The 25,265-nt window shown below is 39.6% G+C and overlaps 1 protein-coding gene across 39 annotated transcripts in view, besides 1 other annotated feature; it reads right to left on the reverse strand.

Moving 5' to 3' along the window:
• MAP7 (microtubule associated protein 7) overlaps nucleotides 1-25,265 on the reverse strand; it is a 207,689-nt gene that overhangs the window by 84,407 nt on the left and 98,017 nt on the right. The window lies entirely within an intron of this gene.
• Nucleotides 8,076-8,245: an enhancer, noted in NCBI's record as "experimental_90180 CRE fragment used in MPRA reporter constructs". NCBI's record gives its function as "activates a minimal promoter by MPRAs in K562 erythroleukemia cells, with activity observed for both the introgressed and non-introgressed 6:136756439 variant alleles {active_cell/tissue: K562}" and the evidence as "EXISTENCE:reporter gene assay evidence [ECO:0000049][PMID:34662402]".

Here is a 25,265-nt window from a genome sequence, read left to right on the forward strand (position 1 = left end):
GGGGAAGAGTAGAGTCAGTGTGGTCACCCTAGAAGAAGCCAAGGACAGCTCACGCAGCACTATATAGGGACCCTCCACCGGAAATGGGACTCCAGCCACAAACTCCTGGGAGGATGAGCAGCTGGCAGGCCAGATAAGGAAATGGGCCTGTTGGGAAATAGGTAGGGCATATTTTTGAAGGTCATTTTGCAGGGAGTGAAGAAGATAAAATATGGGAAACTGATTGATGTTATTAATCTTTTGTAGACCCTCACTTAATGGGGAAGCAGCTGCTTCATGGGGCATGCCTACAGGTATTGTGTCATGGCAATTTAAGTAACTGTCAATGTCAAAAATAGTGCAGTCTCATTTGCTCTTCTATACACACCAGAATAAACCCATTTCATGGTATGGTGCAACATCCAGCCACATTCAATCTGACTGACATTTTGAAACAGAAATAACAATCATGAACCATTTATTCACTCTATTGCTCAATTCTTGTTGACAAAACATAAAAAACTAAATAGGATCATCTGATAATGATACATATTTGAGTTATACACAGCACTCTCCCTATTCTGCTGACAGAAATAATTCAATTAAAATCTTCTTTTTCTTGCATTTCACACATCTATACAGAACACAAAGTTAGGATTTGGTGGCTATGGTAGACTTCAGCAGAGCATAGTAAGAGTGTGGAGGCTTTACAATTTGGAGTAGCTCATTCAGCAATGACAATGACTGAAAGTCACTTTCTGATTTCTCCATCTCGTCATAATGGAAAAAACCTTAAGATGTATGACCATGATAGAAAATGATATTAAACCAAAAGGAAATAAATTTGTTCAATAAAGAGATAGTACAAACCCAACAAAAGACATTGACTTTATAAATACAGTCCAACATGGTGTATAGTTATATGACACATAGGGACAGAATCTTCCACAGGTATCACTCCTTATTTCTATAACTGCACTAAGACTTGAAGAATGGAACAGAGACACGCAGGTCTTTGTTAATAATTTATATTGAACCACTTCCAAAGAGAAGTTGAGGCAGTTGGATTGAACTGTCAAGGTCTATACATGAGATTATAAAAAATACTGACATAGGCTGGGCGTGGTGGCTCACACCTGCAATCCCAGCACTTTGGGAGGCTGAGGTGGGCAGATCACCTGAGGTCAGGAGTTTGAGATCAGCCTGGTCAACATGGTGAAACCTCGTCCCTACTAAGCATACAAAAATTAGCCAGGCGTGGTGGTGCACGCCTGTAATTAATCCCAGCTACTCGGGAGGCTGAGGCAGGAGAATCGCTTGAACCCAGGAAGTGGAGATTGCAGTGATCCGAGATCCCGCCACTGCACTCCACCCTGGGTGACAGAGCAAGACTCTGTCTCAAAGAATAAATAAATAAATAAATAAATAAAATAGTGACACAATCAACATTTTCTGAAATAAAAAACCTAACATGTGATAGGAAAGATCATGTATATAACAGCAAAAGATAATTCTATCAAAATAGGTTACCAAAATATTCCTAAGGGATAGGACTGGGCCATTTTCCTTCAAGGAGCTGATGTCTAGTCATAGTCATCATATTCTGAGCTTAAACAGTCTCCAAATAAATGGAACATCGGCATTCAGTCATTGATATCTGGCCAGGTGCAGATCTATGATAATTTTCCACTTGACCAGAGCAACCTCAGGGCAGGGGTCATGCCCTTCAGCCTTATAATCTCCAGAATAACATGAGATATTTTTTCTCTTCTGATGTGAAGTAGACGTGACCTTGATCTGAGAACTCTTTTTGTCACCCTTTCTCTACAATCTTAGCAGTCATCAAAAAATAAGAAAATGTATTCTTTTTCTTTTTACTAATCATCTTATCATTAATATTTTTTATTTCTGGACTTTTGTCACAGTGTTCCACAAGGCACACATCCATTCCTCTCTTGCATCCTTCATCAAGCATTTGTTCAGTGTCACATATGTGCTGGGTAGTGTGCTAAACACCTCACATCAGAAGAGAAAAAATATCTCATGTTAATCTAGGATGATTTCAACATTATATTAGGCAAGACTCAAAATCAAATGGATGTTTTGACCCCACTTCATAGAAAGGAGCGCTCAGTCTCACCTACAGTGAGAATCTCAGGAATTAGAGTGACACTCTGCAAACACAACAGAATACAGGTCGAGCATCACTAACCCAAAAACCTGAAATCTGAAACCCTTCCATTTCCAAACATTTCAGATAAGGGACACTCAAGCTGTTACTGCTTATACTGCATGGAGGAAAGAAAGCATGTGAACATTACAGCCTCTGCTGGTAACATCAGACAAGCATCTCAACTTTGGGAAATTTGTAAACCCCAACTCTTTCCCAAGCAGTTAATAAATTTATTTTGATAATCTGTTATGTAGCCAAATAATTATCCACCCTAGCTAAACATGAGGAAAAGGATATTTCAGAAAAGCACATGTTCCATATATCTTGTGGGAACTGGGGGGAATCACCCACTAAGCTCTTTCGTTTACCACTAAAAGCAGCTCCTCGATTCACATCACAAATGCTTTCTGACACATTGCGCTGACAGGAATAAACATTACACACTTTAAATTCAACCAAAAAGGCTTTTATCTAAAAAATAAGTAAATAAGTAAAACAAAAACCTTCCTTCAGCCAGATGGCAACACTAAAAATAGAAGAGAAAATGATATATTTTCCCCTTGCGTTAATATAAATCAGATTAAAAGGCAAGCTTTTTCATCTCCGTTGGTGACTTACCACCAGTCACAATGCTAGCTAGCTACTCTACAAGCATTATCCCTGCCCCACAACATGAATAATGTTTACGACTAAGCAAAGTACAGGGCAAAGTACACAAAAGGGAGGGCAAAGTCTAACCATATTAAAGTTTTCCAGTCACACGGAGAAATGGTAAATCAGAGACTGTAGTTATCCATCTATATTTTAACCGCTGGAAACGGAGTTTATCAAATTAGACCCAATTCAATTAAAATCAATGTGTAATTAGAAGAAACTATTTAAATAATGTGGAAAAGAAAAATAATTGAACTCAACTTTATTATACTTTGCTTAATTAAAACAACGAACTGAAAAGAGGGTGTTTTTACTTGAATAGGATAATGATTTACTTTAAGGAAAACTAAAATGGCTAATGCCAGTATTTTACAAAATGATTACTATTGGCCATGAAATAGAAAAGCTTTCATACTTACAAAGTACAGTTATCTAAGTAGAAAATGTACAATACTTAAAAATAGTTCTAAACAGGGGACTCAGTTTTAAATATCAGTTTTGTAAATAAATTTGCATGTAATTTTAATCCTATGAGTATTAGTTAACTGAGTTTAATCAGTGAAATAAATACACATATACACTGCTGTCGAATATCAAAAATTAATCATCTCTCCTCTGTAGAAAATATTAAAATATTTTAAATTTCTTATGTAAACTTCGTAAAATTTAATAGGAATGATATGGTAGGTTCTGAACGTTTATTCCAACTCAAGTAACCACTGAACATTTAACTTAAAGGTTGTCTAAAATTATGGGCCAACGCATTCTCCCCATGCTGTCCTGTGCTGCAGTCATTTCTGTATCTGTGACTGTGTTCTTTTTTCCCTCACTAGAACACCAGCCTCATCATCTTTGCAACTGTTTACGTCTCATCTCTTTTTCTTTCTTAGAGCAGTTTTAGGCTTACAGCACAATTGAGCAGAAAGTACAGAGTTTCATATGCTGTTGCAGCCCTGCGCCCCCACCGCCTATCCCACCATCAACATCCCACACCAGAGTGGTCCACCGGTTACCACTGATGGGCTGACACTGACACGCCATCATCACCCGAAGTCCATAGTTTACATGAGGGGCCACGCTTGACGATGCACTTTCTACTGGTTTTCATAAATGTATAATGACATGTATATACCATGTAGTAACATGTAGAATTCAATCCATTTATAGTACAACTCGATCCATCATAGTCCAACTCAAGTCCCTTTCCCATGAAATCTTTTTAAGCTATTCCTACCACCATCACATTTCTTTCTCTGACTTTTACTGCACTCCAATGCAATCTGTCCCACGCTATTTAGCATTTGATTTCATTCTATCTTGTATCATTTTCAGAATGTATGCTTCCAAAATTTCTAAATACTGAGTCCCATGAGAGGCAAAACAAAAAAATGTGTTCCACATTAAAATAAAACAAAACCAAAACATAATGGGAAATACTTGATGTAACATTTCTCTCTTGGAAATGCATACTACAAGTTTGCATAGGGAAGGGGCTATATCATTCCATTCCATGCTGGTTACCCAATAAATATCAACTTTTTAATGCTTTATTTATTTATTTATTTATTTATTTATTTATTTAATTTTTTGAGACGGAGTCTTGCTATGTCACCCAGGCTGGAGTGCAGTGGTGTGATCTTGATTCACTGTAACCTCTGCCTCCTGGATTCAAGTGATTCTCCCGCCTTAGCCTCCCGAGTAGCTGGGACTACAGGCGCGTGCCACCATGCCTGGCTAATTTTTGAATTTTTAGTAGAGACGGGGTTTCACCATCTTGGTAAAGCTGATCTTGAACTCCTCACCCCAGGTGATCCTCGCACCTCGGACTTCCAGAGTGATGGGATTACAGGCGTGAGCCACTGTGCCCGGCCTTGATGCTTCTTTTCTAACAGAACCCTCATTGGCCACTGGACACAGATCTGGCCAAAACTTTGAAGACTGAAGTGGTTAGGTGTGGTTTGTGGGAATGGTCCTTAAGGCACAGCAGACTCTGGTGTGTGAATTTATTTGCTCTACACCTCTCCTTTTCTTCCTGCTTTGAATGTCGATGTGATGCTTAAGGCAGAGCATCTATCTGGAAACCAGGAGGCTATCAGGAGGGAAAGGCTGAGGGAACAACAGAGACTCAGGCCCTGACATCTTTAAGTTGCTGGTCTAGTATCAGCAACTCTTCACTTCTATGTTCCCGATAGGTTAGAGAAAAGAAAATCCCCAATTTGTTAAAATCATTAAGAAATTCTGTACTCATAAATTAAAAAAAAAATCCCTAAACTGATACAGAGATCCTACTGGCTACAGAATAAAGTCCATGCATCTTAGCCTTCCAAATGTCTTATTTCTTATTCAGTAACTCTTTTATTTGATCCATCATGAATCCTATGTAGCCTAATCTGTTCCAAAAGTCAGAAAGCAAAGCAGGTCCTGGTTCGTTATATTAAAGCAGAGCAGCTTTAGATTTGAAAATAGTGGGAGAAGCAATATCAGGAGAAAAAATGAGTGAGAGATGCCACATCAAGTTTTAATAACATTTGTAATAGAAATCAGTTCCATAGGAATTCAAACGCCTTAGCAGCCAGTGGAATTCTAAAAAGAATGTGAAAGGTTCCCCGATCAAACCCACTAACCTCATATAGCTCCTGATAATTCCTGAGCCACAATTCTTCTCAAATACTTAGTATTCTAAGGTCCTATATGAAGTGCAACTCACAGGTTGGTTACAGAAGGGTTAAATTACCTTCTCTCTCAACTGTTCTACAAATAAACCTTTAATACTAGATAGGTATCAACTGCACATTTGCTTATAAAAAGAAAGTAAATTTATCTATTGATTTAGCCTAATTTTACTTTTATTTATTAGATTTTCCATACTACAGAAAGAATATGAAAATAACATCTAAAAAGCCCATAATTCTGTGACCCAGGTAGCCCATTTATTCTTTTTATCTTAGAAAGGAAGTGTTTTTATTTATTTATTTAAGAGATAGGGTCTCACTATGTTGCTCAGGCTGGTCTCAAACTTCTGGCCTCAAGTAATCCTCCCACCTCAGCCTCCTCAGTGGCTGGGATTACAAGTGTGAGTCACTGTGGCTGGCTTTAAGAAAGAAATGTCTATTACATGGTTAGGAAATTCAAAAAAGTACAAAAAGCTATAAAGTGAAAGGTAAAAGCCTTTCCCTTCTTCCTTTCTGAAAAAAAACTATGTATAAATATATGTATTTGCTTTCCATTTATTCAGAACAATTTACTCTTCTGCCCCTTTCTTTTCTCATTTAGTAATCTATTTTAGTCTACTTTTCAAGTTCTTTCTTTAACTGCAACTAATTTCATCATTTTCAATATGTGGCTACAGGAATTAGATATTCTAGATTCATCTTCTCATAAGTGCTCTATTAAATCTTCACTGATGTGTGAGACCACAGTCCTGACTGAGTATTATTTACCTTCTTCTGTCAGCATCTACACCTGATCCCTTGCTCCCAGAGTTGGTAACTTACTCTCTTGCACTCTCTGCTTCTGCCAGTCTGAACTCAACTGGAAAAGTCAGCCACTTCCAAGGAAATAACCACAAGGAAAACTCCAAGGAGGCTTTGCTTTCCTGGTACATAGCGTAACAGTGAACAAAAGTAGGAACAAAACCTTCAAGAAGCCACGCTATTCGGATTGGATCAGAGGCTTAAAAGCAAGGTTTGTTCCATATGGATACATTTACCATTCCTACCCTTCTTAGTTTTGCAAGCCTAACCTGCATGGGTTCCAGGCCCCAGCTTCTGCCAACTCTGATGGGAAAGCATCGTGGGCTGCTGAAATTGTATTCCTTCTCTAGCACCTTCTCTGGATAGGCAATAAAGTAGTGGAGCAAAAGGGTGGAAGAACACTTCCTGGCCAACTCCATGCCCACTTCAAAGCCAGAATCAGGAAGCTGTTGTGCCAGGGAGTACCTGAGAAGAGCTGAAAGCTGAAGCTGCTCCTTCTGTGATACAAGAGACAATGAAAAACTGGTGAAGGTGCTGATGATGTCTGCAGGGACAGACGACACTGACTCCCACCTTGTGAACTCTGCACAGATGCTACACAAACTGGCTGGGCACGGTGGCTCACACCTGTAACCACAGCACTTTGGGGTGCCAGGGCGAGTGGATCGCTGAGCTCAGGAGTTCGAGACCAGCCTGGCCAACATGGTGAAACCCCGTCTCTACTAAAAAATACAAAGATTAGCCGGGCGTGGTGGTGGGCGCCTGTAAACCCAGCTACTCGGGAGGCTGAGGCAGGAGAACCGCTTGAACCCGGGAGGCAGAGGTTGCAGTGAGACAAGATCGCACCACTGCACTCCAGCCTGGGCAACAGAGCAAGACTCCGTCTCAAAAAAAAAAAAAAAAAAAGAACTCAAACTTCTAGTGACTTTCACAGGTAATTTGTGATCTGAAAATATAATTGAATCTATTAAGTAATTAAGGCTATCATCCTGGAGAACAAAGAAATAGGACCAAGCAAGGGCTTTGGTATGCTTAGCGTAACAAGCAGAGACTCCATATCAGGCCAGGAAAAAGGGATTTAAATCACAAAGCATTCCTCTGACTCATGTGGGAAAGAAAATTGAGATTTAAAACATGTTCCTTTTATTTTTTTAAATCATCTTTCTACTAGGCAAGGAATTTTTTTTTTTTTTTGAGCTGTTCAATCTCTAATTTGCCACATCAATATGTCCCCAAATAAGGGATCTCAAATTTTGGAACCTATTGAACATCTAAATGTAGTAACAAAACAAAAACAAAACAAACTAATGGAAAGGATCCCAGTCTGAAAAACACCAAAACAAAAGAGTGGTTTTACAAGCTCTGCCAACTCTCAAAGGCACAAAGTGTGCTATGTGGCAGGCGCCACAACCTGGCAAACAGTAGCAGGTCGGAGGAGAGGCTGACTGAGTGGCCCATCAGGGAGCATTCATAGCTGCAGAGTCCACAGACTGCAATTTACATGCTTGCTGTCCAGTAAGTATTTTCATTTAAAGTATGCTACATCCATTTCAAACAAGAGAATCCAATTACAAATTCTAAATCTGCCTAAGCTATGGGCCCTTTGGGGGTCATGAAGAGCTCAGCTAACACTAAGCTGACAAATAGGCTCTTTTCTTCTAAATACTTTTAGAATGCATTTTATGTGACCATTTCATACTTTACAACATCCACTTGGGGGTTGGTGCCTACAATAGTAGGAGAAGCCAGAAGGAGGTTGAGAGATATTGAATGGATAAACTACATGGATACCTTCTCCTAGAAGAAGGAAAAAAGAAGCCAACAATTACTGAGTGGAGGTTGGGAGGAACCCAGCTACTCTCCTTGCGTCCCAGGGGGCAAAGGGCTGTCACAGGCCTGGCCTATCTCCCCATTCTCTTCTTTATTGAAACACCTGCTCCTAGATAACCAGTCCTGTTTCCAGAATTGTAGAGGAATCATTATCGGAAAGGAAGATGTCTAAAGAACTGTCTGAGCTTTCTAATCAAATGTGAATAGATCTCATTTCAGTCTTTGAGTGCCCCCTCAAACTGCCACTTTTCCTAGATGCATTAGGAGTATTCTAAGTAAGTGACATGGCAATGTGTTTTCTTTTTAGTTTACAAATGATGCATATGCCCTAAACTTCATGACACTTTTTCTGTTATCCTATGTCCTTTATTTTACAGAAGTGGAAAACCTTAGAAAAATTTCAAAAGGGTGTGTGCTTTCTGTAAATAGTAAGGTAGGGAGAGGTTTTGATACTGAGTTTGGTTTCCAAGTAGAGGAAAGAAGGAGAAAAATTATAGTTGGCTGAGGACAGGGTAGGGAGAAAAATTTGAGGAAGCAAGAAAACCTGCTTTAGAAATAGTAGAATCTGAGCAATTTGAAGGTACATCATTATACCATTAAAGTAGAATAGATGTTTAATACAAATTGGGTGAATAACTATACACATGTTTTTCATAGGGATTTTATAATAACATTACTATCTAATAGGTTAAATAGGCTTTTGTGGGTTATCAGTTATACATGAAATATTTTTATAATGTGCAAATGTGTCCCAGCTTTCAAACACCTAATTCATATATGAACTTCTGGAACATAACCCATTTATTATTGAGAATTATTATTTTAAAAAACAAGCACTATAAGAGTATGGCAAATAGGCATAAGGAAAGGATCATAGGTAATCATATTTTAGAGCTAGTTAGGAAAGGAAGTTCATTTAATATGTGTGGTTAACTATTTAGATTTTTAAAATGTCTTAGAAATAATCACACCTGTGTTCCTCAATTAATACTTTTGGATAAACTATTCAATTTTCTCTAGGCAAGATTTTCTGGCAGGCTAAACTTGACTTTGTAACAAATATTTGTCAGCAAAAATAAGGTAACTACTTATGCCTGAAAAAGTTCTATTTTTTAAATATTCTAAAAGATGATTTTTTTTTTTTTTTAAAGATGGGGTCTCACTCTGTTACCCAGGCTGGAGTGCAGTGGTGTGATCATAGCTTACTGCAGCCTCGAACTCCTGGGCTCAAGTGATCCTTCTGCCTCAGCCTCCCAAGTAGCTGGGACTACAGGAACATGCCACAACATCCAGCTGATATTTTTATTTTTTGTAGAGATAGAGTCTCGCTTTGTTGCCCAGTCTGGTCTTGAACTCCTGGCTTCAAGCCATCCACCCATCTTGGCCTCCCAAAGCACTGCGATTACAGGTGTGAGCTACCACATCCATCCTAAAAGATGAGTTCTTAAAAATCATCTGAAATCACTGTGGACAAGTATTTATTAAACCTCAAAGCCATCTCTGAAAACAGGAAAGATTCAAAGAATAGCTAATAGCAGTCTTATTACTGAGAGTTGTATTTCACACAAGGAAAATTTACCTTCTCTTTCTATAGCTCACCAAATTGATTTTAGAAGATTTTGATCATAAGAAAAATCACACTAAAGTAATACATGAACACTGGCCTGCAGAATGGTCAAATTAATGTGACCACATTAAAAATGATACAAATGTGAAAGTCACTAGCAGTTTGAGTTCTAATATAGCATCTGTGCAGAGTCCACAAAGCAGGAGTCAGTGCTGTCTTCCCCTGTGGGCATCATCGGCCACCTTCACCAGTTTTTCATTGCCTCTTGTATCGGAGGAAGGAGCAGTTTCAGCTTTCTGCCCTTCTCAGCACTCCCTGGTATAACAGCCCCCTGACCTTGGCTTTGAAGCAGGCGTGAAGGTGGCCAGGAAGTGTTCTTCCACCCTTTAGCTTCACTCCTTTATTTTGTATCCAGTGAAGGGGCTAGAGAAGCAATTCCATCTCAGCCAGCCCAGGAGGCTCTCCCATCAGAGTTGGTAGAAGCCCCGGCAGGAACCAATGCAGGTTTCCTACCTCCATCCCCAAGCCCTTGGCCCACTTCAAAGAGATGCCTAGAAGCCAAATAGATTTGTTGCTATGAATTTAGTTAGATGACTTATCACTGTGTTGCATAATTCTTTCCCTAGGGTACAGCTAACACCGGTTCCATCAGGAGCTCCCGAAAGTGCCCTGCTACTTACAATAATCAATACAGGCACCATCTATGCTGGGGTTATAAAAATACCAATATTGATCTGATTTACTTCAATCTGAGGTCACTTAGCTAAGATTATGTATAAGAATGACAGTTTCATCTCAATTTTTAGGGATACAGACAGAATTCAGTCATTTCATAGGAGCCTACAATGAAACATCAGCTGACAATACATTTTAGTTTCTATTCATCTGGAAATTATCGTAAACCAGCTTTAAAAGTTTGCCAATTCTTATTTCACTAGGAAAAAAAAAATCTTCACCCATTTTACAAAACTTGACTTTACCAAAAAGCTTAGGCTGATTTTAAAAGCTAGAAAAACTATCCTAATACTACTCAATGTTCAAAATGTTGGTTATAAATCTTAGTAATTGGTTTTAGATTATTATAAACCTTTATGACTACCTAAATTCATGCTTCATATTCTAACTAGAAGTGTCCATGTATGTGCTACATCCAAATACTCATTCAACTTTGCCTAGGAAGGTCTACAGAGAGTCTACTCTCTCTAATATAGTATCAGATTAACTCCCTAAGAAAAGCTCCCTGAGTAAAAGAAATAACTCCACCACACCAAAACACCACTGAAAACCCTTAACTGATACTATAAAATAGGAGAAGCACAGACAGCTCCAGCTTTCAAAGGAAAATAAGACAGAACTACTGTAGAGAAAAAACATAGTAACAGCAGCATCAGCAACTGTGAGAACCATTTATCGTAATAGGCATTGTGCTAGAAGCTTTACATAATCACATCTAATTTCTATAGACACCTTGCAAAGCAGGCAATTAGCATCCACATTTAACACTGAAAACACAGAGGCAGAAATTAGAAGTGGTCAGAAAGGGTCTGAATCTAACCTGGTTCGACTCCAGAATTTGCTTGGTTTTCATTCATCATGCTCATTCCTGAGAAAGGGATTAGACAAACTCACTTGCTGGGCTATCTGGAGAAGAACTAAGATGGGGTTCAGGAACCTGAGTGTAGGTGCATTTTTTTTCTCTCACTTGTTTTTTTCTGATGAGAGAAAGTAATGAGAGGCCTTGTGCCCATGATGACCTGTCCTGACCCTAGGAGAACTTCCCTCACTGCTTTGTAAAAGTTCAGCCACGCGTGGGCAAGCATGCATACAGTCACAGTGAGTTTTACTATTTCATAATATTTCATAATATTGATGAATACACAATACAGTCACAGTTAATTATAAAGAAAAACTGACAGGTCACCAAGACTACAGAATTTCTAGAACCAAGACCTTCAGGAAAATGATACAAAATCCACTTGCGACAAAAACTGTATTTTTCTTCCTTTTCTTTCTCACCTCCCTTCCCCCCAACCCCCAGCTTAATTAAAAGGTATAAAGTGAAGAGAGAACAATAAACAATTATCATGGTAATTTGATAGTAGATACAAATGTTTCAACCACTTTCTCTGCCAAAATTCAGGCTACAGAATACAGGTGTTCAGAAAGTTACAATGTGCAACTGTTTTAAATCATATTAATTTGTGTTTCATTGAAGTGAGATCTTCATTTTATGTTCAACTGCACTATTGATAGGTTAATACCTGCTATGGTTTGAATGTGTGTATCCGCCAAAATGGTTTGAATGTATGTATCAAACCAAAATACGGTTTGAATGTATGTATCTGCCAACCTATGACCCAATGTGATAGTGCTAAGAGGTGGGGCCTTCAGGTGATTAAGTCATGAGGCTGGGATTAGTACCCTTATAAAAAGGGCTCAAGGGTACTAGCTAAGCCCCTTTCTTGCCCATATTTTCTGCACATGAGGACACAGCATGGGGTCCTCTTGTCCTTTTTGCCCCTTTTACTATATGAGGATGCAGTAAGAAGGCCCTCACCAGACGCTGAAGGCTAGCACCTTGATCTAGAACTTCTCAGACCCCAGAACTCAAGAAAATAAAGTTATGTTATTTACATTATCTAGTCTCAGGTTTTTGTTATTAGCAGCATAAACGGTCTAAGACAATACCTAAAAATGTGTGCATGATGTATAAAATCTCTAGGACGCGCTTAGATGAATAACGCCACACTGCTCCTATATTCTAGGAATTACAGTCACATGAGTCAGCTCTACCACCCTTCCCTCTTTTTTCATCTTACAAACTGAAATGCACTTTCTGACCCTCTACATTTTGTTTCCCACTTCATCACTTTATTCACTGGGCTGTCATAAAGAGTTTGAGATCTCCTAGTTCAGAATTAAGCCAGTATTATGTTAATAATTAAGCAAAGATAAGCAACTTTTTTTTTTCCTTTAAGAGTAAAGGCCTGGAAGAAGGGAAATCTTGGTGAGACAGCAATAAAACTGCAGTGAAAAGAGAGCGAGAAGCTGAAGTACAGATTTACACAGGGAGTGGCTGGCTCACGGGCCCACTTCATGCCCGGTCTCGCTCCTTCTTTGAAGGGTAGTCTTAGGCTGATGGCTAGTTTAATAGTGCTGGGTTCCATTTGAACTCAGTTTATTACAATGAGCTGCTGGCCAAAGCTGGGCAGGTTAGCTTGGTTGGCTAGAGCAGGAGCTTGAAGGCCAAAGCACCATAGCTGTGCTGCTGGGTGAGTTCACCCACAACAGAATTCTGTAGCATGATCACAGACAAGTACAATGACAAACGGGTGGGAGGTGTGAGCCGGGTGACTATGAATATAATCACTCAGCACAATATTTAATGAGCAGTCACTGTTCCAGACATTAATAATACAAAGATAATCATACTGAGGTTGAAGTCTTCCAAGGCAGACACACATAGAAATACATAATTAAAACGTAATGTAGTAAGTACTGTGATAGAGATCTCTACGGGAACACAGAGACAGGTAAGGGAGGCTTCCTGGAATAGGTGACATCTGAGCTGGTCCTAAAGAGTGAGTAGGTATGTGGGTGGGAGGCACTCCTTGCCAAGGAGAGGGCATCATGAACAAAAGCAGAAGTTATGTCATCAGTCATAGGGAAAAAGAACAGGATATGCATCAGCTTTTTATAAACCCAACTAGAAAACCTATTAACTTATTTTGTAAATGAAAAATTGCATCTTTACTCACTTAAAAATGCTTTTTGTTAAAATAGGATTTTTTTCTCACTTGTTGCAAGGAGGAAACTATACATTTTGTATATTACATGTTTACTGCTTTGTAATTTTAGAAGATGAAAATAAAACTTTAGTAAGAATTAAGATCTAAGAATTATGACAGTGAGCAGAGGATGGAGGTCCAAGGATATAATACTCTCAAATGCCGGAGAGCCCAGTATTAGGATGAAATTATTTTATCTTAAAAATAAAATATTTAAGGTCTTAAAAAAAAAAAAACCCTCCCCTAACTTCCTCTCTTCCCAATCTCTTGGTAATCTCTATCCTACTCTCTACTTAGGAGTTCAACTGTTTTACACTCCACATAACAACAAGATCATGCGGCACCTCTCTGTGCCTGGTGTATTTCACTTAATATAATGTCCTCCAGGTTCATCCATGTTGTCCTAAATGACAGGATTTTCTTATTTTTTAAAGCTCAATACCATTCCATTGGGTATTAAATATGACATTTTCTTTATCCATTCATCTGTTGATGAACACCGGTTGATTCTATATCTTGGCTGTTGTGAATAGTGCTGTAATAAATGTCAGAGTTGAGAGATCTCTTCCGCATGCTGATTTCATTTCTGGCAGATATATACCCAGCAGCATAAAATAAGCTTAAAGTCTTAAAGATAATTTTGCTTTTAAATTAAGAGGCAGTATATTTTAATATTTTATCATTTTTCCCTAATATATACCATTAAAACCACTTATATGCAACTCCATTTACCTATGGTACTGTGTTTACATTGCAAAAAAACAAATTCAGGAAATAATAGAGCAGAAAATGTTCACGAAATCAAATAATTAGAGCTACAGTTCAGCACTTCTCTCATAAAATTAATGGTGTTTTAGTAACTGTTTCCTTAGTATGTCTAATGATTGTATCTTTTTGTTCATTTTGCCATTAAATTTTGCTCTTTCAGCATATAGGTAGCTATTCTTCCTTCCCCTTTTTTGATCATGCATACCTTTGCAAATCTCAGGAAAGCTATTAGCCCCTTAAGCTGAAGACCAGGGCATGAAACTTCAGAGTTTTATGGTCCCCAGAGATGGTCAAGAACCCCTCTCCCTGAGCACCCAATGACAGAAGATGCTTTGAGTGGTTACAAATTCCAAACTACAGGTCAGGCTGTGGTGGCTCCAACCTGTAATCCCAACACTTTGGAAGGCTGAGGCGGGAGGATTTCTTGAACCCAGGAATTGTAGATCAGCCTGGATAACACAGGGAGACCCTGTCTCTACAAAAAATAAAATTAGTTGGGCATGGTGGTGCATGCCTGTTGTCTCAGTTACTTGGGAGGCTGAGGTGGGAAGATTGCTTGAGCCTGGGAGGTAGAGGCTGCAAGTGAGCTGTGATGGTGCCACTGCACTCCAGCCTGGGTGACACAGCAAGACCCTGTCTCAACAACAACAACAGTAACAAACAAATTTCAAACTACAAAGTAAATCTTCCCAATTTCCTGCCATGAGTTTTTGGATCAAACATAAAACTTTTAAAAAGCGATACTTAAGGCTGGGCATGGTGACTCATGCCTGTAATTGCAGCACTTTGGGAGGACGAGGCAGGTGGATCACTTGAGGTCAGAAGTTTGAGACCAGCCTGGCCAACATGGTGAAACCCCGTCACTACTAAAAATACAAAAAAATTAGCCGGACATGGTGGTGCATGCCTGTAACCCCAGCTACCGGGGAGGCTGAGACAGGAGAACTGCTTGAACCCAGGAGGCAGAGGTTGCAGTGAGCTGAGATCACACCACTGCACTCCAGCCTGGGTGACAGAGTAAGACTCTGTCTCCAAAAAAAAAAAAAAAAAAAAAGTCATACTTAAAATAGTTCTTATAAAACAAGGTTTCAAAGCCCTTCTGTTTAAAACAGTGGTTCTTGAGGGTTTGTATGAAAATCACCTTTGGGCTTTTAACACAGCGTGGTCCAGGTCCCACCCAGACCCGCTGAGCTGCAATCCTGAGGCATTAGGCTCAGCTGTGTATTTTAAAATGGCTCCCTAAAGGATTTTGATGTACATCTCTGGTTTAGAACCACCAACTCACAGAATTTAAACTAGAATCATCTCCCAGGTGCTAAAGTGATTTTTCACATTTTTCATTGCTTGGCAAAACACGAAAGTTCTGGGTTCCCTAAACTAATGGTTTAAGAGGTGTTGTTGATGGGCTTCAGCCATCCCCTAGACCATCTGCCTTCAAACTGGGATACATATGCTCCTAAGGGTATCCAAGGGCTTTCCACAAAAGGGTTTTAACAGTTTTTGTGCTTTGGATTCCTCTAGCACCTGGTAAAGTCAGGCTGAATCCCTTCTTAGGATAATATTTTTAAATGCATAAATCAAAAACAGCATTAGCAAGAAAATATAACCATACTAAGGATAAGTATATTTAAATATGGTTATATTTAAATATGGTTAAAAATTTAATGCACATTTTTATACATTAAAATATGTATACCCTAGAATTATATGTGCTCCTTTATTAACCCAGTAAATAGTAAAATCTAGGGGGATGTCTAATAACTGTCATGATTTCAAAGTAATCAGTTCAAACCACCTTTTGAGATACCTGAAACAACTGTAATATGATAAGAAAACATCTGACTTCTGTTGATGCTCATGCTACTTTAGGTTTGTCGTAATTAAAGGAAATGCTCAATTTCTAGGTGAGGTTAGTGGAAAAAAAGATGAAATTATTTTCCTCATCCAAATTTACAAACGCTTGGAGTTAAAAACCTTACTTTAAGGGAATATGTCTACATGGAGGGTTATAAAGCAGTTTCCAGATTCTTTCTTAAAACCTTTCATACCTTGTTTCTCACATACATTCCCCTTCTACTTTTTTTTTTTTTTTTTTTTGAGATGGAGTCTTGCTCTGTCACCCAGGCTGGAGTGCAGTGGTGCAATCTTGGCTCACTGCAACCTCCACTCCCGGATTCAAGCGATTCTTCTGCCTCAGCCTCCTAAGTAGCTGGGACTACAAGTGCACACCACCAGACCTAGCTAATTTTTGTATTTTTAGTAGAGGGGTTTTTCCCCATGTTGGCCAGGCTGGTTTCAAACTCCTGACCTCAAGTGATGCGCCCACCTTGGCCTCCCAAAGTGCTGAGATTACAGGCATGAGCCACCACGCCTGGCCCCCTTCTACTTTCGTAAGGCACACTTCTTATGCATCCTGAACATTATGTGGCTTATTGTTAAGGGGGCTAAAACCTCTGAAGTGTCACTAAAGAAATGAGAGAATGCACTGCTCCTGTAGAAGCGCCCCTTGAGAGCAACACAAAAAATACTGTGGGAGCAGGGCCTTGCTTCATGCAAGTGAAAAGGTTTCTGTCTCGTTTGTATTAATGCATCATTGTCATAGGGCACAAATTAATACAGAAAGTCTGCACCTTACGATGGTTTGACTTACAATATTATTCGACTTTATTCCATGTTATACCATGTCAAAATTTCCTCACTTTTTAAGTCCACTGTGTATTTTAAAAATTTATTTTCTAAGGTATGTGAAAACAAAAATGTTTGAAGCCTAACCAACATTTCACAAAGCCTGTGAGAAATGAGCTTCGGAGCCATGGAGGTCTATGAGCCTCCTTCATCAGAAACACCTTGGGTATTTACTTAAAATGCAGATTCCTATGCCCCAACTCAATGTATGAAATTTGAATCTCTAGGGTTGGGTCTGGGAATTTGCACTTTGAAACAAGCATCATACTTGAATCTGATGTACACCAAAGTTGAAAACCACTGCACTATGCTACTTTACTGCTTTGCTGTTAAGTCTTCCAGACGCTATTGTTTCAACCACTTTCTGGACCCATATTTATCTTTCAATCTATGGATAGGCATTTGTTATAAGCTAAATTATACAAACTCAACACAAGGCACTGATGCTTCTTCAGAATTTGATGGGAACTGACCATGGACAATGTCAATAGGAACCATCTCTTTGTGCATCACTTAATAATTTTCAGTGGTATAGAATAGTGATGTTTTCCTTAACCTGTTCCTTATAATTTGATACCACTTTTGGATAAGCTGTAAACAAGCCCACAATAGAACAGGGAGGTAAATATTCCCTTTTAAAAAAATACGGTCCTACCATATGAACTAATAATTTAAACAATGGCTCTGCTATCTAATTATTGTCAGAAACAAGTGTTAAAGTTCAAAGCATTTGGTATTCCATAGGTGCTTCAAGCTTTTTTAAAAATGTCCCAGGCTAAACTTACATTAATCATGCTACTTGAAGCTTCAATTCTGGGCCTTTCATGCCTAAAACTTCAGCAAATGTCTCAGTTTAAAATTATTCTGAAAGAGGTCTGACCCTGCTACTCTCTACTCTGTAGAGGTGAGATGTGTCGACTAACTGCTCAAGCCTACACCTTTGTTAGGTCTCTCCATTTTCATATAATGAAACGAGTTCAACTGTTGGTTAAAGCATGTGATTCCACTACTGACAATGAAGGCGTTAAGGACGATCCACCCCACATTATGCCAATTTGGCATATTTATTATTTCAAGCTGAAAGTACTTGAGAAACTAGTTGCAGAAAGGCCTTTCTGATCTGTCCTTTCTTACAGATGGCAAGCCATAAAAATTCCTTTGAGGACGGCTTCCCTCCAGTAGGGAGAGAAAATAACCCTTATCACCAGAGATTGGAAACTGCTGCTGCAATGAACCTGTACAAATAAACTTACTGAAGAAACCCTTATCTTCCACTAGCTTTACACACCCCCACCATAGATCTCCTAGTGACTTCTAGAATTTACTGTCCCTAGCCCAGATCCCCTTGTCCTGTCAAATTTCTTCACAAATTTATTATTCCTTGTCCAAAAAGTACAAAACCTATCTGCATTGGCCATTTCTTTGCATCCTTACTCTCTTGTACTCCCTATGTATGTGTAAAAATTTATAAAACCTGTATCCTTTTCTCCTGTTAATCTATCTTGTGTTAATTTGATTCCTAGAACCAGCCAAAGATCTCACTTAGGTACCAACATAGGTAGAAGTGACTTTTAGCCTCTTACAACCACCTATTAGTTTTCCATGAACTTGCCAAGGAGTGAGAGATCTTGAACTTGTTGTCACTCAATAGCCAGCAAAAGCTCAGTTCCAAGAAGCCATATTCATGGAAGACATACAGGAGGCACACTCATCTATATTTTCCAAAATCTATCCCTGTATTAAGTCAAACTAACAGCTGCGTAATGAATAACATTGTCTCTGTAAAATCTGTATAAAGATATAACAAAAACTGAGTTTCTCCTGTCCTCTCACAACACAATCAACACACAACACTTACTGTGACCTCTAGTCGCCAAAATGCATGGGGATTTTTCCCTACCAGCAATGAATTCTGCAGCCGACACCAGCTGGGTATCTTCTAATTCAATTCAATTCTGATACTACCTGCTATAAATTGGGGTTCCCACAACCCCTCCTCATGGTTCGATTAATTTGCTAGTGCAGCTCACAGAACTCAGGGAAATACATTTACTGATTCATTATAAAGCATATTACAAAGGATACTGATGATCATCAGAGGTGGACAGGGCACAGCATGGGAGAAGATTGTCATCAGAGGTGGACAGGGCACAGCATGGGAGAAGATTGTCATCAGAGGTGGATAGGGCACAGATCATCAGAGGTGGATAGGGCGCAGCGTAGGAGAAGATCATCATCAGAGGTGGATAGGGCACAGCAGATCATCAGAGGTGGATAGGGTACAGCATGGGAGAAGATCATCATCAGAGGTGGATAGGGCACAGCATGGGAGAAGGGACACACCACCATCCAGGAGTTTCCACATGTTCAACTTTCAGGAAGCTCCCCAACCCAGTCCTTTTGAGCTTTTATGGAAGCCTCACTGCTAAGGCATCACTCATTAAATCATTTGCCATTGGTGATAACCTTCATCCCCTCTCTCCTCCCCAGAAGTTGGGGAGGTGCAGGGGGGCGCTGAAAAGCCCCAACCCTCTAATCCTGCCTTAGTCTTTCCTATGACCAGCTCCAACCTGAGGCTACTTAGGGGCTGCTGGCCACCAGGAATCTCATTCACATACAAAAAGACACATCACTTTGGAGATTCCAAGGATTTCAGTAGTTGCATGCCAGAAAATGGGAACAAAGAACAAACATATATTTCACAATATTACAATCTGCTTTTAAGGGTAATCACCAACTTTGGCATATTAGACACCCATATTCGAAAAAGTCAGTGATGTATACATTGAGGCTCAGTCTGTTTTCAATGTTTTATTAGTCATTTCTACACAGAATAACAGTCAAGGACAAAAACTTAAAAAAATTTAAGCATTTATACTGTAATGACCAAATTCTTTTCAATGAAAACATCTCCCCCACAAACATTTCTGGGTATAAAATTTCTCTCCCCTGACATCATAAGTCCATGGGTAAGTTACACAACTTCATGAGCAGCCACTGGGATGTGTTCTATATGCAATGAGACTATCCTTTTCAATCTGTATCATGGTTTTAACAACAGCAACCTCTACTGAGGTTTAATCTAAGAAACACAAAACTCATCACCCCCCCGAAATTTGTTGTGTCTCTTGCCTATATACTGCTGAGGTCACATCTGAACACTACAGAGAAATTACTTTTCAGTGTTAGTATTGAGAATAATTGTATTTCTTCCAAATAACTAATTCTCTTTCTCTTTCAGCAAAGTGAGTTAAACATCTGGCAAGGCTTCTCATTTGTAACTGCAGTTTGAAAGCTTAGGGACAGATTGTGATCCACTCACAGGACTCGCCTTTGGAAAGGTGTTATTATTTCCTGTTCCATTTTATGTTCCAACTTTTGGTTTATCTTTTTTTCTTTCTCAAACATTCCTAATTTATGTTACTGCATTATGCTTTAACTGTTCTTGTAAACACTTTTAGAACAATGGAGAGTATCATAAATTTTTTAAAAACTTAAACAGGAAAAAATGTTTTAATATTATTTGAATTAAGATTTATACTTTATGAAAATACATGTTAAACTGTAATACTTAAGGAAAAATTTAAAGCCTCAATGATTGTCTGAATAACTGGGTGTTTTTTTCAAAATAATGTCAAGAACCTGGTAAAGTTAAAAGAAACCTCTTGTATCAATATCAACTTATCCTGAAAGTCATCACCTAAAACTTTTCTTAAGCAATGACTTTCACATGACATTGTGCTGCTAAAATACCATAATATTAAAATACTCTCTTTTCCCAAAAAGCAAGCATAATCAAGCAGTTGGAAATAAGAAGCAGTTTGGCCAAACAGCTTCAAAATTTAAAATGAAGGCTGGGCCCAGTGGCTCACGCCTGTAATCCCAGCACTTTGGGAGGCTGAGGCGGGCAGATCACGAGGTCAGGAGTTTGAGACCAGCCTAATCAACATGGTGAAACCCCATCTCTACTAAAAATACAAAAAAATTAGCTGGGCGTGGTGGCACCTGCCTGTAATCCCAGCTATTTAGGAGGCTGAGGCAGGAAAATCACTTGAATCCCAGAGGTGGAGGTTGCAGTGAGCCGAGATCACGCCACTGCACTCCAGCCTGGCCGACACAGCGAGACTCTGTCTCAAAAAATAAAAAAAAAGAACTGAGCTGTTTAAAGACTCTGAAGGAATAAGTCAATTCTGGGAATTAGGCAACAATGCTCTGGTGTCTGTGCGGGAAAAACATTACATATGAACCTAACTTGCAATAAGGTCCTTTTGGCAACACGATTATTAAACAAACAAACAAACAAAAAATCCTTCTATCATGAGTCTTGCCTTTTAAAAGGCTATGGTTAATGACTACGATTTTTTTTTTTTTTTAAGACGGAGTTTTTGCTCTTATCGTCCAGGCTGGAGTGCAGTGGCGCAATCTCAGCTCACTGCAACCTCCACCTCCCGGGTTCAAGTGATTCTCCTGCCTCAGCCTCCCAAGTAGCTGGGACTACAGGCGCCCGCCACCACGCCTGGTTAATTTTTGTATTTTTACTAGAGACAGGGTTTCACCATGTTGGGCAGGATGGTCTCGATCTCCTGATCTCGTGATCTTCCCGCCTTGGCCTTCCAAAGTGCTGGGATTACAGGCGTGGCCACCGTGCCTAGCAATGCCTATGAATTCTTATAAAGGACTCCCATTCTACAAAATGGAATTATAGCAATGCCTGAGAGATACAAGATCCAGAATGAAAAAGAAGAGAAAACAGTAAAGCAATCTTTTCTATCAGTTGCCAAGAAAGGGGAAAAAAACAATTAATATTTTATTATCTTTGAAAAAGCCTCATGCACTGTTAGAATGACTAGAAGAATTCTTCCCCCATCCATCAGCGCATCTGTTCCCCCACTTAAAGCATGCCTACATACAATGTTCCAGGTACTGGGGACACAACAGTGGTGTTAAAAAAAAAAAAAAAAAAGAAGCAAGCCAGGCACAGTGGCTCAAGCCCGTAATCCCAGCACTTTGGGAGGCCGAGGCGGGCGGATCACGAGGTCAGGAGATCGAGACCACGGTGAAACCCCATCTCTACTAAAAATACAAAAATTAGCCGGGCATGGTGGCGGGCGCCTGTAGTCCCAGCTACTGGGGAGGCTGAGGCAGGAGAATGGCGTGAACCCAGGAGGCGGAGCTCGCAGTGAGCAGAGATCGCACCACTACACTCCAGCCTGGGCCACAGAGCAAGACTCCTTCAAACAAACAAACAAACAAACAAACAAAAACGAAAACAAAACAAAAATGTAAGGCAATTTAAATTTAACAGAGTTTAACTGAGCAAAGAACAATTCGAGAATCGTGCAGCTCCCCAAACCAGAATAAGTTCAGAGTGACTCCGTGCTGCCATATGGTTGGAGATTTATGTTAATAAAAAGGAAAGTGATGCACAGAAAATGGGGATGAGGTGCAGAAACAGCCGATTGGTTACAGCCCGGCATTTGCCTTATTTGAACATGATTTGAACAGCTGGCTGCTGTGATTGGCTGATACTCGGTGATTGCTGGGAGATTATGTCTCCCTAATGTCTGTTTACAGATCCAGTTAGGTCACAGTTCACTATGTACCAGGAGACCTTTAGGAAAAACTAAAAATATGTAAGGAGTCAGCTTTAGGCTAAACTTAATTTAAAGGGGGGCAGAAGTATGCAGGGGCTCTGCCCATAGGGACGAAGGCATTAGCCAACGATTGCACTGATGAACTTACATGAGCAACTGGGATAAGGGCTCTGAGAGGGAAGAACACAGTTCTTGAAGGAATACAACAAAGGAACCTGAATAAATGCAACTTTTTAAACTCCATTTGGAGGCCAGGCACGGTGGCGGTGGCTCATGCCTGTAATCCCAGCACTTTGGGAGGCCAAAGCAAGCAGATCACCTGAGGTCAGGAGTTTGAGACCAGCCTAGACCAACATGGCGAAACCTTGTCTCTACTAAAAATGCAAAATTAGCTGAGCATGGAGGTGCATGCCTGTAATCCCAGCTACTCAGAAGGCTGAGGCAGTAGCTTGAACCCGGGAGGCAGAGGCTGCAGTGGGCCAAGACTGTGCCACTGCACGCCAGCCTGGGTGACAAGAGCAAAACTCTGTCTCAAAAATAAAAATAAAAATACCATTTGGCTTCTGTATAAGCCTTTTATCCTTTTCACCAACACAATTCTAAGTAGAAAAAGTAAACTAAAACAAATTAGAATCTAAACATTATTTCCAAGATTTCTTCACTTGTTTTTAAATAGCAATTTCCCACTAACAATATCATAAACATAGATTTTTTTTTAAAATGAATTTTTAAACAAAATTCCCAGCATGGAATATTTCTACCTGATTAAATATTTAAATTTTAATATTAAAATATTAAAATGCAAATAATCTAGTACTTCCAAATAAAATAACTATCTCAAATATTAAATTATCATTTCTTTAAAAGGACTTTTTAAGATATACCACACTTTTTATAGAAGGGCGGGCTGATCACCTGAGGTCGGGAGTTCGAGACCAGCCTGACCAACATGGAGAAACCCCATCTTTATTAAAAATACAAAATTAGCCAGGCATGGTGGCTCACGCCTGTAATCCCAGCTACTCGGAAGGCTGAGGCGGGAGAACTGCCTGAACCCGGGAGGCAGAGGTTGTGGTGAGCTGAGACCACTCCATTGCACTCCAACCTGGGCAACAAGAGCAAAACTCCATCTCAAAAAAAAAAAGAAAGAAAGTGGATACATTTCTGTGAAGAGGAGGCATTAAATACTATAAAAGTCAATGTTCTGTTTTTTGAAGGTTACTGCTGGTGGGGCTCAGGGAATTCCACCTCAAAACATGACTGTAGGAGACAAAAATTTGTACCCCAAATATGCCTTTTTGGCATAAGGATTATTTTGAGAAACAGCAGAAACTGGAAAAGCTCTGAAAACATAAAGCAAGTTACCCTTTTGTAAGAGAAATTTACATCCATAAAGGGAATCTCCATTTGTAAAGGTGTCTCCATCTCTGTACCAGAAAGAAAGGGATGGCTCTAAATCTAAACTAGAAACTCTTATCAATGGGGCAGGCACCTACTTAAATCTGCGCAACAAACCTTACCCTTGTTTAGATATTTCCTGATCACCTCCCCATAACAGGTTTTCTCTACGCCTCCTCTGTTTCTGTAGACATGTATTAAAGCCACCTCCTAGACATTTATAGGCATCTCTTTAATTGCACTTCCCTTTATGGTATTTTGCTAAATCTACTCTGCCTGTGCTCTATAAAAGGAACAAGAAAGCCTGGATGACAGCACATCTGTTGACAGCATGGTTTACTCAATATTTTAAGTCCACTGTTGAGACCTGCTGTTCAGAAGAAAAGATTCTTTTCAAAATATTACTGTTCATTGACAATGCATCAGGTCATCCAAGTGATCTGATGGAGATGGACCAGGAGATGAATGTTGTTTTCACGCCTGCTATCACAACATCCCATCCTGCAGACCATGGATAAAGAAGTAATTCTGACTCTCAAGTCTTATTTAAGAAATAAATTTCTTAAGGCTATAGCTGCCATAGTGATTCCCCTGATGGAGCCGAGCAAAGTAAATTAAAAACCTTCTGGAAAGAATTCTCCATTCTAGATGCCATTAAGAATACTTTTGATGCATGGCAGGAGGTCAAAAATGTCAACATTTACAGGAGTTGAGAAGATGATTCCAAACCTCATGGATGATTGAGGGGATCAAGACTTCAGTGGAGGTTAGTAACTGCAGCTGTTGCAGAAACAGCAAGAGAACTAGAATTAGAAGGAAAATCTGAATACTGAATTGCTGCAATCTCATGATAAAATGTGAATGGGGCCAGGTGCAGTGGCTCACGCCTGTAATCCCAGCACTTTGGGAGGCTGAGGTGGGCAGATCATGAGATCAGGGGTTCAAGACCAGCCTGGCCAACATGGCAAAACACTGTCTCTACAAAAATACAAAAATTAGCCGGGCATGGTGGCACATGCCTGTAATCCCAGCTACTCAGGAGGCTGAGGCAGGAGAATCGCTTGAACCTGGGAGGCAGAGGTTGCAGTGAGCCGAGATCAAGTCACTGAACTCCAGCCTGGGAGACAGAGCAAGACTCCGTCTCAAACAAAACAAAACAAAACAAAACAAAACAAAACAAAACAAAACAAAACTTGAATGGATGAGGAGTTGTTTCTTATGGATGAACAAAGAAAATGGTTTCTTAAGATGGAAGCTACTCCTGGTGAAGATACTATGAATGTTGTTGAAAGGACAAGGGATTTAGAATATTACACAAACTTAGAGAGGAACTGACCCCAATTTTGAAAGTTGTAC

Source organism: Homo sapiens, chromosome 6 (genome assembly GCF_000001405.40).
Source record: "Homo sapiens chromosome 6, GRCh38.p14 Primary Assembly".
In the NCBI taxonomy this organism is placed as follows: Eukaryota; Metazoa; Chordata; class Mammalia; order Primates; family Hominidae; genus Homo; species Homo sapiens.